General features: G+C 33.5%; 1 long non-coding RNA gene across 2 annotated transcripts in view; it reads left to right on the forward strand.

The window, feature by feature from the left end:
• The window catches only part of LOC105377356 (uncharacterized), a 288441-nt gene that overhangs the window by 221859 nt on the left and 51609 nt on the right, over positions 1-14973 (forward strand). The window contains exon 5 of one of the 2 annotated variants that reach the window (XR_939053.3): positions 484-651. The exons of the other annotated variant lie outside the window; for it this stretch is intronic. This is a non-coding gene — a long non-coding RNA (uncharacterized LOC105377356). Of the gene's footprint in view, positions 1-483; positions 652-14973 lie in introns of those variants that run through there. 2 annotated transcript variants of the gene reach the window in all.

The raw sequence follows: 14973 nt of genomic DNA on the forward strand, positions 1-14973 counted from the left end.
TTTGTTCTAAAGTATTTTAATAGATGAGTGTTAACCAACTTAAAATTGTGATAATATATGTATATTTTTACATTGGTTGTCTTATTTTATGCTCTCTGATTTTTTTGTACTTCATTGAAAGTTTATAATTTTGAAAGTTTATATATAAAAATATAAAAAAGTTTCTATATGTAAAGTATAAAAATATAATTCCAAACAACTGAATCATTTGCAATAAGAAAATATGCTCAAATTTTAGCAATTATAATAATATACTATACTATATTTTAAATGATTTATTAAGACATATAAGGACTTATTTTAGAAATTACTATAGAAATTATTATGTTTGGCTTTTATAAGAAATACTGTATTTCTGATCATTTTTCCTTTATATTGTTGATAGTCTTAGAGGAGGCTAATATGAAATGAGTTTTTGCTTGGGCTCATTTTGGGAAACATGTAAAATGTTAATAAACGTTTATCTCAATTTTGACTTAATAGTGATATACATTTGAGACCCAGGAGACTCAGCATATGGTGAAGGTTCACAGAGACACGTGCAGATGGAGAATACCACTGCTAAACTGGCAACACTTGGTTAAACACCAGAATGGATTACATACAATCAATGCGAGGAACCTGGAAATCAAGGCTGGAAAGAAGCCTTAAGTAAGGCAATTTGTCTAGAGATGAAACATGAGAAGAAGGCCAGAGTAAGGAGGGGTGTCAAAACCTAGCAGAGGAGTTAATAGGCAATATTGTTATCAGAAAGGAAAGTATTACAGGGAATTATGATCCAGTCAATTAGTAGGGTCAGTACAAAGCAGCAGCAAGAAATGTTTGTTTAGGAGAAATAAGCCACTTGCGTAGAAGAGGTATCGGTTGCTAAGGAAGATCATGATATGACAAATAAGAAAGTAAGATTGAAGACAAAGATCGAAGAACAAGGAACAGAAGCTAGCAATGGTTTAGAGAAGTCTTTAGACAAAAGCCTGTGGAAAGAAACGGGTGTGAGGGTGAAAGGTGCTCCTTTCATGCAATAAAATGTTGCAGAGAAAACTAGTTAAATTATTTTACATTTCTTTCATTTTTTCCCATATAGATTTCAGAGCTTAAAGAATTCTTAAAGACTTATTATGATTTGATCTAACGATGAACCAAATTATAAAAAATTAAGCAAGTTTAAGTTGTTTAGGAAAAAATTATAAAACAAATTCTTCAGTTGTATTGAGGGCTTATAGTATCTCATATGCTGACTTTTAAAAATGAAACTAACATTTTTTTCATCATGAGAAGGGAAAAGGTTTTTAAAGTTTTTGTTATGAAGCATGTATAATACACACAAAAGTGAAGAGCGTAAAGAAAAACTACCATTTCTTAGCTTGAATAATCATCAACTTCCTACATATTTTTATTCTACTTATTGCCCCCATTTTGTGGTATTTATATTCCCAATTATTTGAAATAAAATCCTAAAATCATATTATTTAAGCATAAATAATTCATTATGTATGTCAAGTAAATTATGACTCTTTTTTAAACATAATAATATCACATCCAACAAAATTTACGTAACTCCTTAAGACCAGCATTCCTTTGTCAACAAACAGAGCTTTTACTATATTTATTTTAGATTTTCATATGACATAAACTAATTCATCTTCCTAGTCGATAAAGATGCAAAAGGCACTTTGAGATTTATTTGCAAACAAGCCACCCTAATACTATTTTCCTGAGAGTGTGTTTCTGAGGATACTGAAAACTTTGTGTCGTAGATACACTATGGGGTCAGGTAGTACAACCATTTTGTATCCTAATAACTGTGTTCGTGGCTTTGACATTTCCAGTGAAAAGAGGATTGGAGAAATATCAGGTACTATCATGGATGAAAGAAAAAATATTTCATTTCAGCATTGGAAGAACTAAGCATTTGTCCAACTTTAGATGTTATCCTTGGCTAGGGACCTATAATTGCTCTCACAGCCCAAACAGAACCAGGTATGAGGGATGCATGTTAACTCTCTGTTAACCGGGAACTCTGTTAAAGGTGCTAATGTGAGAGATATTAGAACATAGATTCCTGAGGAAGTCTAAAAAGAGTCTGGAGAAATAATTTTATCTACCTGTTTCCTTCTAGAAAAGAACACACAAGCCAAAGATACCAGAAATAAATTGTTGGGGAGAATTGTTTACTTAAACTCTGTGCACACATACAAATTACATTGTTCTTGATTACATGGCAAAACAATAAAAAAATAATTTTTCCACTGATGAAGACAAATATTATTTGATGAGATTATATTACTGATTAATTTTTGAGGACTTATTTAACCCAGGCTTCATGCTTCATATAATGTGAGTTCAATCTCCACTCTCAAGGCATTTATAGCTCAAAGAGCCTGTAAAACAGGAAAATATTTTTATGGTTATTAATACTGCAACATGTATATTTAAAAATTACAGAGGAAAATTAAAGGCCATTTGACTACAGACTAGATAAAATGGTAGATAGCCAAACAGAAATTAGATAGAAAAATCTAACAAATATTAAGTACATACAGGCACACTTCAGAGATATTGTGGGTTTGGTTCCAGACGAGTAAAATCAAGTGAATATCACAATAAAGTGAGTCACAAATTTTTTGGTTGCTTGGTGCATATAAAGTTATGTTTATTATTAATTGTGCAGTAGCATTATACAGACCTTAATTTAAAAGTTCTTTACTGCTAAAAATGCTGACAATCATCTGAGCCTTCAGGGAGTTGTAATGTTATTGCTGGTGGAGGGTCTTGCCTTGATGTTGATGGATGCTGACTGATCAGGGTGGTGGTTCCTGAAGGTTAGGGTAGCTGTGGCAATTTCTTAAAATAAGGCAACAATGAAGTTTGCCACATCAATTGACTTTTCCTTTCAGGAAAGATTTCGCTCGCTGTACTATGTGATGCTATTTGATTGCATTTTGCCCACAGTAGTATTTCTTTTAAAATTGAAGTTCATCCTCTCAAACTCTGTCATTGCTCTATCAATTAAGTTTAGGTAATATTCTAAAGCCTTTGTTGTCATTTCAACATCATTCATAGCGCTTCACCAGGAGTAGATGCCATCTCAAGAAGCCACTTTCTTTGCTCATCCATAATCACAATCATCATGAGATTACAGCAATTCAGTCCTGTATTCAGGGTCCACTTTGAATTCTAGTTCTCTTGTTATTTTCATCACTTACACAGTTACTTTCTCCACTGAAATCTTGAGCCACTCAAAGTCATCTATGAGGGTTGGAATCAACTTCTTTCAAACTCCTGTTCATGTGGATATTTTGACCTCCTCCCATGAATCACTAATGTTCTTAATGGCATCCAGAATGGTGAATCCTTTCCAGAAGGCTTTCAATTTACTTTGCTCTGATTCATCAGAGGAATCACTATCTGTGGCAGCCATAGCCTCACAAAATGTATTTCTTAAATAATAAGACTTGAAAGTCAAAATTGCTTCTTGATCCAGAGGCTGCCGAAAAAAAGTTTACTTGTTAGTAGGCAGAAAATCAATGTTAATTTCATTGTATGTCTCCATCACAGCATTTGGGTGACCAAGAGCACTGTCAATGAGCAGTAATATTTTGAAAGGAGTCTTTTTTCTGAGAAGTAGGTTTTAACATTGGCTTAAATATTGAGTAAACCATGCTGTGAACAGATATGCTGTCATCCAGGCTTTCTTGTTCCATTTATAGAGCACATGCAGAGTACATTTAGCATCATTATTAGGAGCTGAATTTTAGGATGGTAAATGAGTATTGGCTTCAATCTAAAGTCATCAGCTGTATTATTCCCTGACAAGAGAGTCAGCCTGTCCTTTGAAGTTTTGAAGCCAAGTATTGACTTTTCCTCTCTAGCTATGAAAGTCCAAGATGGCATCTTCTTCCAATAAAAGGCTATTTTGTCTATATAGAAAATCTGTTGTTTAGTGTAGCTACCTTCATCAATTATCTTAGCAAAATTTTCTGGATAATTTGCTGCAGTTTCTGTATCAGCATTTGCTGCTTTGCCTTTCATTTCTATGTTGTGAAGACAGCTTTCCCTAAGCCTCATGAACCAAGCTTTGCTTGCTTTCAGCTCTTCTGCAGCTTTCTCACCTCACTTAGCCTTCATAAAGTTGAAGAGAGTTAAGGTCTTTCTCTGGATTAGGCTTTGGCTTAAGGGTGTGTTATGGCTGGTTTGATCTTTCATCCAGACCTCTAAAACGTTCTCCATGTCAGCAATAAAGCTGTTTTGCTTTCTTATCATTCATGTGTTCATTGGAATGGCACTTTTAATTTCCTTTAAGAGCTTTTCTTTTGTATTAATAACTTGGCTCACTGTTTGATGCAAGAAGCCTAACTTTCCTCCTGTCCTGGCTTTTGACATGCCTTCTTCACTAAGCTTAATTATTTCTACCTTCTGATTTAAAGTAATACATGTGACTCATTCTTTTTAAGTAAACACTCAGGGGCCATTGTAAGGTTGTTAATTGGTCTAAGTTTAATATTGTTGTGTCACAGAGAGCAGGGAGGCATCAGAAAAATGGTGTAGGAAGCCTACATATTGCAGAGTCTAGAGTTGCATTTTGGGGAGCCCAATATTTTATGTGAGTTTTTTTCTTAGATCATTTCTCAACTCAAGGAATAGGAGAGAGGCCAAAATTCTGGGCAGAAGATGGCTGCTCAGAGGCAGAAAACCCAGAAGAACTTTCAGCAATTTCATAGTTTTGGGGGAGACCGAAATTGGAATGAGACTGCCAAGGCAGCCAAGGCTGGAGGGACTAGAGATCTGGAGTAAACCCAACATTCAACACTAGTTTTTCCCTCAAGATATTTGCTGATTTTTAAGTTCCATGGAAAGGGAGTCTAAAATGTCAAGCAGAAAATAGGTGAAAAGAAGAGCTGAGTTTCTTTTTTAATCATATTGTAATGCTGGAAAGGTAAAAGTTCCAATTTAAGGCCATTAAAGGGGAAGCAGCACTCAAGAATTTCATTTGTAAACCACCATGAGCAATATCCTAGGAGGTACATCAAAGGTAGACTGTATCTTCCTAGGAGTATAGCTCAACCCCAATCATTTCAGCATTTGGCTGGACTGAGCTAATGTGTCCCTTTTCTAGCTGCCTTCCAACAAAAAGGGTGAATTCACTATTGAGGGAGATAACTTCTACCAATACCTCAGTTATTTCTCATATAAAATATTTGATTTTCAATAAAAATTACCAACAAACCTCAAAACAACCAAAGGGAAAAGAAACACTAGGAAGAGACCCACAGTTGACCCAGATATTGGAGTTATCAAATGCAAACTTGAAAAAAAATGGATTATTATTTTGAAGAAAATAGATGAAAAATGAAGAATTTCACCAAAGAAATAGAATATAAGAAAAAAAATAGGCACTGTAGAACTGAAAAATACCCACACTGACCGTAAGAAGTCAGTGGATCAGTTTAATGGCACAAGGTACACAGTGAAGACAGAGTTGGTAGACTGGAAGCCTATCTTGTATGCTCTCAGTGCTCAATGCAGATCCCTTTCCAATGCTAGAGGCCCTGTCCCTTGGGCCCTCTGAGTCCTGGCTGCTACCAGTTCACAACTGTACTTGCTCTGGAGAAATGCCAAAACTATGTCACCCAGAGATGCTGGGGGTTATATCCCCTCCTGAGGGTGACTCCTAGCCAATAAATATTTTTAAAAAACATGTAACATGAAATTTACTCTCTTAAAAAATGCAGCCAATAATTGACAGATATAAGTATATTAAAACCAAAATTCCTTAAGTAAGGTCAGGTTTGAGCACCCTTCGTTATCGAAAGTGCCTATGGGATCTGGCTGAGCTTAGACTCTAGCTGAACCCAAACCTATGCTTGGCTCCTCCTTTTCTGCTTTCCTGCTTCTCTTTTCCTTGCAGTTTTCTCTAAAGAGCACTCAATAAATCACTTACACAAGAATCTTTAGCTCGTGCTCTTCCCCAAAGGAATCTGACCTAGGAAAGAATGACATGTATTAATGACAAAAGGCTAATCCACTGGAAAGTGTCATAATTTTGAATCTTTTCCCTGATGGCATAGCTTCAAAAAATATAAAACTAAGAAAAGATAAAACAAAAAAAATGAGTAAGATCTCAAAATCCTACATAACATTAGTGAGAGAAATTAAAATAAGACCTGTATAAATTGAGAGGATACTTCAAGTTCTCACCAAAAGTTGTCATGAGGCTTCTGGGATAAATTGCATATTCTATTTATTGATCTGGAAGGTAATCAGATGCATGCATTTTATTTTGTAAAAGTAAGTGTTTAGAAAGATAGAGTTAGTTCAGAGATGTTTAAATCAATTATCAAATGGATAAGGGATATACTTTGGGTTCATTTGTTATTTCTTAATATTTTATGCCAGTGTTATTTTTTACCTCAGATCTTAAGTGTTTTATTAGTTCTTTTTAACTATGTCATCTAATCTCCTCAAAATGATTGCTTTTTTTATGAATCTAAGAATATTAATTACAAGCTGTGTTGTTATGTTATTAATTTCATGAATGTGTTTACCAAACTGTAAACTATGTAATGAAGTGCTTAAATATTTATTTGCCTATTTGTTTCTGACAATTATGTTTATTTATGGAGTACAATAGGGTGTTTTGATCTATGTATATATTATAGAAAGATTCAATTAAATGAGTTAACATATCCAACACCTCACCAATTTGTCATTTTTTTTTGTAGTGAGAACGTTAAAAATCCATTTTTTAAACAATTTTGAAATATACAATTATTTTTCAAATATAATACATTATTATTAACTGTGGGTCACTATGCAGTACAATAGATCACTAAAACATATTCCTCCAGTCTAACCAAAACCTCATACCCTTTGATCAACATAACCCCTTTCCCTATCTTGTCCCTTCTACCCTCAGCCTCTGATACCAACTTTCTACTCTGTTTCTATGAGTTGAACTTTTCTAGATTCCACATGTAAGTGAGCTCATATGGTATTTGTCTTTCTTTGTCTGACTTATTTCACTTAGCATAATGTCCTCCAGTTCCATCTATGTTATTACATATGACAGAATTTCTTACCTTCTTAAGGCAGTATTGTATTTCATTGTGTATATATATAACATTTTCTTTATCCATTCATCTGTTGATGGACACAGGTTGATTCTATATCTTGGCTATTGTGAATGATGCTGAAATGAATGTGGGAGTATAGATATCTATTTGCAATATTGATTTCAGTTCCTTTGGATATATACACAGAAGTGGGATAGCTGGATCATATGGTAGTTCTATTTTTAGTTCGTTGAGAACACTCAATACAGTTTTCCATAGTGGGTGTACTGATTTACATTCCCACCAGCAATGCACAAGGGTTCCCTTTCCTCCATATCCTCATCAACACGTGTTGTCATTTTCTTTTTGATAATGGCCATGATGAAAGGAATCAGGTTAATATCTTCTCATTGTAGTTTTAATTTGCATTTCCCTGATAATTAGAGATGTTGAAGATTTTAATATATCTGCTGTCCATTTATAATTTTATTTTTAGAAATGTTTGTCCATATTCTTTGTTCATTTTTTAATTGAGTTGTTTTCTTCCTGAGTTGTTTTAGTTATATATATATTTTGTATATTAACACCTTATCAAATGTATAGTTTGTAAATATTTTCTCCCAGTTCATGAACTGTCTCTTCATGCTTGTAATTGTTTCTTTGGTATGCAGAAGTCTTTTCAGTTTGATGCAGTATTATTTGTCTATTTATACTTTTGTTATCTGTGCTTTTGGTGTCTTATCCCAGAAATAATTGCCCAGACCAATGTTGTGGAAAATTTTCTGTTTTCTTCTATTAGATTTACAGTTTGAGATCTTACATATGAATCTTTTATCCACTTTGAGTTGATTTTTGTAACATGTCAGATGAGGGCCCGATTGCATTCTTCTTCATCTGGATATCTAATTTTCCCAACACCATTTATTAAAAAGACTGTCCTTTCCCCACTGTATATTCTGGCACATTTGTCAAAAATCAATCGATCATAAATACTTGGGTTTATTTCTGAGCTTTCTATTATGCTTCTTTGGTTGATGTATTTATTTTTATGTCAGTACCATGCAATTTTTATAGCAATAGCTTTATAATACATTTTGAAATCAGGGAATGTGATGTCTCCAGCTGTTCTTTTTGCTCAAGATGGCTTTGGCTATTCATAGTCTTTTATGGTTCTCTACAAATTTTAAAATTAATTTGCTATTTCTGTGAAAAGTGACACTGGAATTTTGATGGATATTGCATTGACTCTATAGAGCACTTGGGATAGTATACACATTTTGACAATATTAATTATTCTAATCCATGAACATGGAATATCTTTTCATCTGTTTGTGTCTTCTTCAATTTTTTTTCATTGATGTTCTATAGTTTTTAGTGTACAGATCTTTCACTTCTTTGGTTTAATTTACTAGTAAGTATTTTTAATGCTATTGTAAATAGAATTGTTTTCTTAATTTTTTGGGTGGGTAGTTTGCTGTTAGTGTATAAAAACTAATTTTGTATGCTTATTTTGTAAACTGTGTCTTTAGTAAATTTGTTTATCAGTTCAAACAGTTTTGGGTGAAGTCTTTATGGTTTTCTATATATAGAGAGAGTCATATGTCCAGTAGATGGAGACAATTTTATTTCCTCCTTTCTTCATACAGGTGGCTATTATTTCTTTGTCTTGCAAAATTGTTCTGACTAGGACATCCATACTATGTTAAATAGAATTAGTGAGAGTGATATTAGTTCTTCCTTAGCGGTTTGATAGAATTCAGCAGCAAAGCCATCAGGTCCTGGGCTTTTGTTTGATAAGATTTTTTTTATTACTTATTTAATTTTTTACTTATTAGTTTGTTTTGATGTTCTATTTTTCAGGATTCAGCCTTGGTAGGGTACATGTTTCTAAAATGCATCATTTTATTCTATGTTATCCATTTTTTGGTATATAGTTGTTTATAGTAGTATCTTAAAAACCTTCGTGTTTCTGTTGTATCTGTTGTGAGGCCATCTCTTTCATTTCTGATTTTGTTTGAGTATTCTCTCATTTTTCTGTTAAAGTTTTGTAGATTTTGTTTATCTTTCAAAAAACAAGCCAACTTTCATTTTGTTGATTTTTTCTATTTTTCTAGTCTCTATTTTATTTCTTCTGATCTTTGTTATTTCCTTCCAAGAATGATATATTCAGCAATTCTGTCCTTCAAAAATGAAAAGTAAGGTAAATAACTTTCTCAGGCAAACAAAACCTGACCTACCTTATAAAAACTAGACCTACCTTACTAGACCTACCTTACAAAAACTGCTAAAGGGAGTTATTCAAGCTGAACAAAAAGGTTGCTAAGTAGCAACATAAAAACAGAAAAATTTAAAACTCACTTGTACATGTGAGTATATAATCAAACTCAGAACACTCAGGTTTTAATGATGGTATGAAAATCAGCTATATTGGCTGGGCACGGTGGCTCATGGCTGTAATCCCAGCACTTTGGGAGGCCGAGGCGGGCAGATCACGAGGTCAGGAGATCGAGGCCATCCTGGCTAACACGGTGAAACCCCGTCTCTACTAAAATACACAAAAAATTAGCCGGGCTTGGTGGTGGGCACCTGTAGTCCCAGCTACTCAGGAGGCTGAGGCAGGATACTGGCGTGAACCTGGGAGGCAGAACTTGCAGTGAGCCCAGATCGAGCCACTGGGCGACAGAGTGAGATTCCATCTCAAAAAAAAAAAAAAAAAAAAAAAGAAAGAAAGAAAGAAAATCAATTATATCTGTAGTATGAAAGTTAAAAGGAAAAACTATTAGAAATATCTATAGCTACAATAAGTTGTTAGGGACACAAACTATAAAAGATATAAAACGTCATCAAAAACCAATTGTGAGGGGGAAGTAAAAGTGTAGAGTTTGTGCAAGTGATAAAAGTTGTTATTGGCCTAAAATAGCCTGTTTTAAATATAAGATATTTTATGTAAACCTCATAGTAACCACAAAGCAAAAATAGTTAGTAGATACACAACAGATAAAAACAAAGGATTTAAATACTACCATAGAAAATTATCAAACCTCAAAGGAAGGCAGCAAGAGAAGAGAGAAGCAAAGCATCTACAAATTAACCAGAAAACCTTGAAGAAAATGGCAATAATAAGCCCTTATTTATGAATAATATTTTAATGCAAATGAATGAAATTATCCAATCCAAAGACATTAAGAGGCTGAATTAATTTTTAAAACCCAACTAAATGCTGCAGGAAAGACTGACTTTACCTCTAAGGACACATATAAACTGAAAGTAAAGGGATAGAAAAAGACATTTTATGCAAAGGAAAACCAAATGACAGTGGAGGGAGCTATATTTATATCCGACAAAATAGAGTTTGCTTCAAAAACTGAAAAAAGAGAACAGGAAGTATATTATATAATGGTAACAGGGTCAATTCATCAAGAAGTTTTAACAATTATAAATATACATGCACTCAATATTGGAGTAGCTAAAAATATAAAATATTAGGAGATCTGATGGAAGAGATAGACTGCAATAAGTAACAATAGGAGACTTCAATACCACACTTTAAACATTGGACAAATTACTTAGACAAATACAACAAGGAAATTTTGGACTTGAAGTATGCTTTAGACAAAATGGACCTAACATATATTTATAGAACATTTCATCTAACAGCAACAGAATACACATTGCTCTCAAGTACACACAAAACATTCTCCAAGGTAGATCATATGTTAGGCTCCAAAACAAGTCTTAACAAACTTCAGAATATTGTAATCACATCAAATATCTTTTCTGACCAGAGTGGCATGAAACTAGAAATCAACAACAGGAAGAATTTTGGAAAACTCACAAATATGTGTAAATTAAGCAACAGGATCCTGAACAAGCAATAGATCTAAGAAGTCATTAAAAGAGAAAGAAGTTAAAAGAGAAATTAGAAAGCATCTTGAGACAAAATTTGAAATACAACATACCGATGCTTGTAAGATACAGCAAAAGCAGTCCTGAGAGGGAAGCTTATAGCAATAAATGCTTATATCAAGAAAGAATAAATATCTCAAATAAACAGCCTAACAGAAAATTTCAAGAAACTAGAAAAAGAAGAGCAAAATAAGCCTAAACTTAGAAGAAGATTTAAAATATATATATATATATATATATATATATATATATATATATATATATATATATAAAGTGTAAGACAAATTGGTTCTTATTTCTCATTGCACATAGCTGATATAATGCTAAGTATATAGGAAATTCAATAACATCTGGTCAATTGTTGGGAGAGGCCATCTGCCATGGTCACTGAGCATTCCTGCTCATTCTTGGTGAGTATCTTAAGAATGAAAGGCTCTAACTGTTCTTTGCCCAAATTATTTGCTCAGCGTTGTCTTTAGAGCAAACCTCAGATGATGAAATAGCATCTCTCTCTGGACAAAGAGAGGTTTACTTCTGCTCATTAAAAAAGCAGTAAATCCTCCAAGATCAGGGTTCCTCTCCTGTAATGCAATCTACTGAACGTGAAGGTATCATTTAGGATCACCAGCACCATTCTTCCCTGTGGGACTCGAAGAACCTGGAGAACCAATGGAAATGAAAATGAAGGCCTGAGTAACAAAGTCCTTTTTAATTGATGCAGGAATCTAGTATATTTTGGCAGTATTCAGGAAACATTAACAAATAGGCTAAAATCTCATACGCTGAACACTTTTTTATACCAATCAGGTAGCTAAAAGTGCAGGGAAGCATATAGGGAGAAAGCAGAAGAAATAATGGCAAAGATAGATTATAGCTAAAATAAGTATCACGTGATAAATAATATAATTAAAATTAAATAGTGTTCATGTAAAATATACAATAGAACCCAGAATTCCATCTCTTGAATGCAAAATAACCATTAGAAAACCGTAAAGAGAGTTATAGACTGGTCAAAAAGGTTGGCTTGTAAATTCACCTTGTGATAATATGTTGAAGATTAGAAAGAATAATCTGGATGTGTAAATCATTAAGAAGACAATGCAAAAAAAAATCCTGATTTGATCAGGAAAAGAAAAAAGAAATGAAAAAAAAATTTCCTTAAATAAAAGACCCCCAACATGAACACCAACAAAACACTTCATCAATTTGGATCAGTTCAAGTCAATTAAAAAACATGTGGTGAACACCCTCCTCTCTATACAATGGAATATGCAAGAAGCTGTCCAATCTGCTGGGTTCCAGGAACTCAAGACTGGACTCTAGTGAAATGAGGGAAAATAAATTAGAAAAATAACACACAGGTCATGGCCCTGGAAAACAGCAAGTGCTGACTTGACTTGTTAGGAAAGTTAACACATTCAGAATTATGTACTTGAAAGTTTGGTTTTCATACAAAATTTACTAATGGAGATTGCCTAAGGAAATTTTTGGAAATGAGGTTATCATTTGAGACCTAAACTGAAATTACAGCAGAAATTTGAGAGCTATCTTTACCAGCAAACAGCTAAGGAATTAAAAAAAAAGGCAAAATAAACAAACCCAACCTCTTTAAGGAAGCAGATATAGAAATAGTGCAAAAGATCCAAGGCAGTTGATCTTGACAGATGTTGAGAGAATGGTCAGGGGTTGACAAAGAAGTAGAGTAAGAAGAAAAGAAGCAGGGGAAGAAGTAAAGGATTCTAGAGCATCCATAACCAAGATCAGTAAGGATGGAAAGAAGATGGTTAATCCTGTTTAATGTGGTTAGAAAGTGAAGGAGGGAAATAAATATCTAGAGTACTGTCCCATTAAACATAATGCGAACAATATTTTTAATTTTAAATATTTGAGTAGCCATGTAAAAATGTAAAAAGAGGCCGGGCACGGTGGCTCACGCCTGTAATCCCAGCACTTTGGGAGACTGAGGCAGGTAGATCACGAGGTCAAGAAATCGAGTTCATCCTGGCCAACATGGCGAAACCCCATCTCTACTAAAGATACAAAAATTAGCTGTGTATGGTGGTGCATGCCTGTAGTCCCAGCTACTCGGGAGGCTGAGGCAGGAGAATCACTTGAACCCGGGAGGCAGAGGTTGCAGTGAGCCGAGATCGTGTCACTGCACTCCAGCCTGGTGACAGAGCGAGACTCTATCTCAAAAAAAAAAAAAAAAAATGTAAAAAGAAATAGGTAAAAGTAAGTTTAATTCAATAGTTTAGCTCAATATATCCACATTATCATTTCAAAATGTAATCAATATAACAGATTATTAATGGTATATTTTATATTGTTTTTCATACTAAGTCTCTGAAATCTGGTATATATTTTACACTTATAGCACTTCTGTATTTGGCCTGGCCCCACTTCAATTGCTCAGTAGCTGTATGGAGCTAATGCTTACTTTTATCAGACTCTATAGATCTAGACAGGAAAATATATAAATAATCATTAAATTTGATGACGAGATTAGGAAGAAAGTTCTAAGAAATATATAATTCTACACAAATAGTTTCAGGTTAGTAAAAACACTTGCTGTTGCAAAACTTGATTAGTAAAGGAGGAGATAACAGGGTATAAATCTCAGAACAGGAGAATAAGATTTCTAAGTAATTGGAATGAGATAAAGATTTTCTTGCAATGGAAGATAGAAGTTGGATTGGAAAAAAATAATTTTCATTCCTAATGTTTTTAACTCCTATACTTTCTGTTGGGGCAGTAAATCCTATGAGGAAAAAAATGTAAACAATGTTCGAAGGGAGACATATTTAAAGATTAGTATGAATTATGAGAAAAATTAAGCAAAGGGAATACACTTCCTGAGCCAAAATTAACATGGCAGTGATAAAATATTAAGGAAATTGATAGAAAAAAAGTATATAGAATTTGGCAAAATATATTAAATTTGTGTTAAATGGCAATATCTGGTACTTTTTTAAACTTTGTATTTTGAAATAATATTGCACTTGATGAAGAGCTACAAAGACAGTACAAAGTATTCTTATATGCCCTTCACCCACTTGGCCCTAATGTTACGTTTTACAGAACCTTATACAAAATTAAGAAATTAATGTAGTATAATAAGTTAACTGATTTTGATTTCATCTGGTACATTTTCACGTTTCTGTGTTTTTTTCCTCTTACAAATTTATATGCAGACATGAAGGAAGAAGTGTCCATGGGAATGATCTAGAACTCAGCTGAGGGTTTGGTAACTTCTATGGAGGGCCTCATCTATCATCCAGGCAGGCAAAGCTGACTATACGTTTACATCTGTAGACTTAAATTGATAGCCGATAAGAGGTCATTGAAAATTGGGAGAGAAGTCAAGATAATTAGAGAAAGATGTGGTCAGAAAGGAGGTGTTGAGAAGTGGAAATTTAGAAGAATGCCTAGAACCACACAGCAAGGCAAAATAAAGCATTTGAAATACTTAATATCTATATGTGACTTTTACATCTCTGTGGTCCAATTTAACTGTTTCTTTAAACAAATAAGGTGAAATTACCCATGATAACATCAAGAAAACTATTTTTGTCTATTTTACTGATAGTTGACATAAAAAGCAATCTAATCATTTTAATGCTATAGACATTCTGTGGTTATAATCTCTTTTTACACATTTGCTTGACAGGCTTGACAGTGTTTTGAAATCAGGATATCTATTATGAAGAATCTCCATAATGTGTTCTTTTATTGCCAAGGTTAACATTCTTCAGTGGGTACCACACAAAAAACAGGTGTTCTGAAACTTCTGGAACTCTGTCACATTTGCATATTTTATAATAAATCAATGGTTTTCAAATTAATGATCTCAGTCATCAAGCTCTGTAGGTAAATGCCTTGTAGATTTCAACCTTCTTCCTAAATTTCTTATAAAGCCCCACTTGTGGACCAATCTTTCAAAAAGATAAAGTATGAAAAATGGGAAGTTAAAAAAACCTTCAGCTTTCAATATGCATTTATGTCAGTACATTTTATA

This window comes from Homo sapiens, chromosome 4 (genome assembly GCF_000001405.40).
Source record: "Homo sapiens chromosome 4, GRCh38.p14 Primary Assembly".
Lineage (NCBI taxonomy): Eukaryota > Metazoa > Chordata > Mammalia > Primates > Hominidae > Homo > Homo sapiens.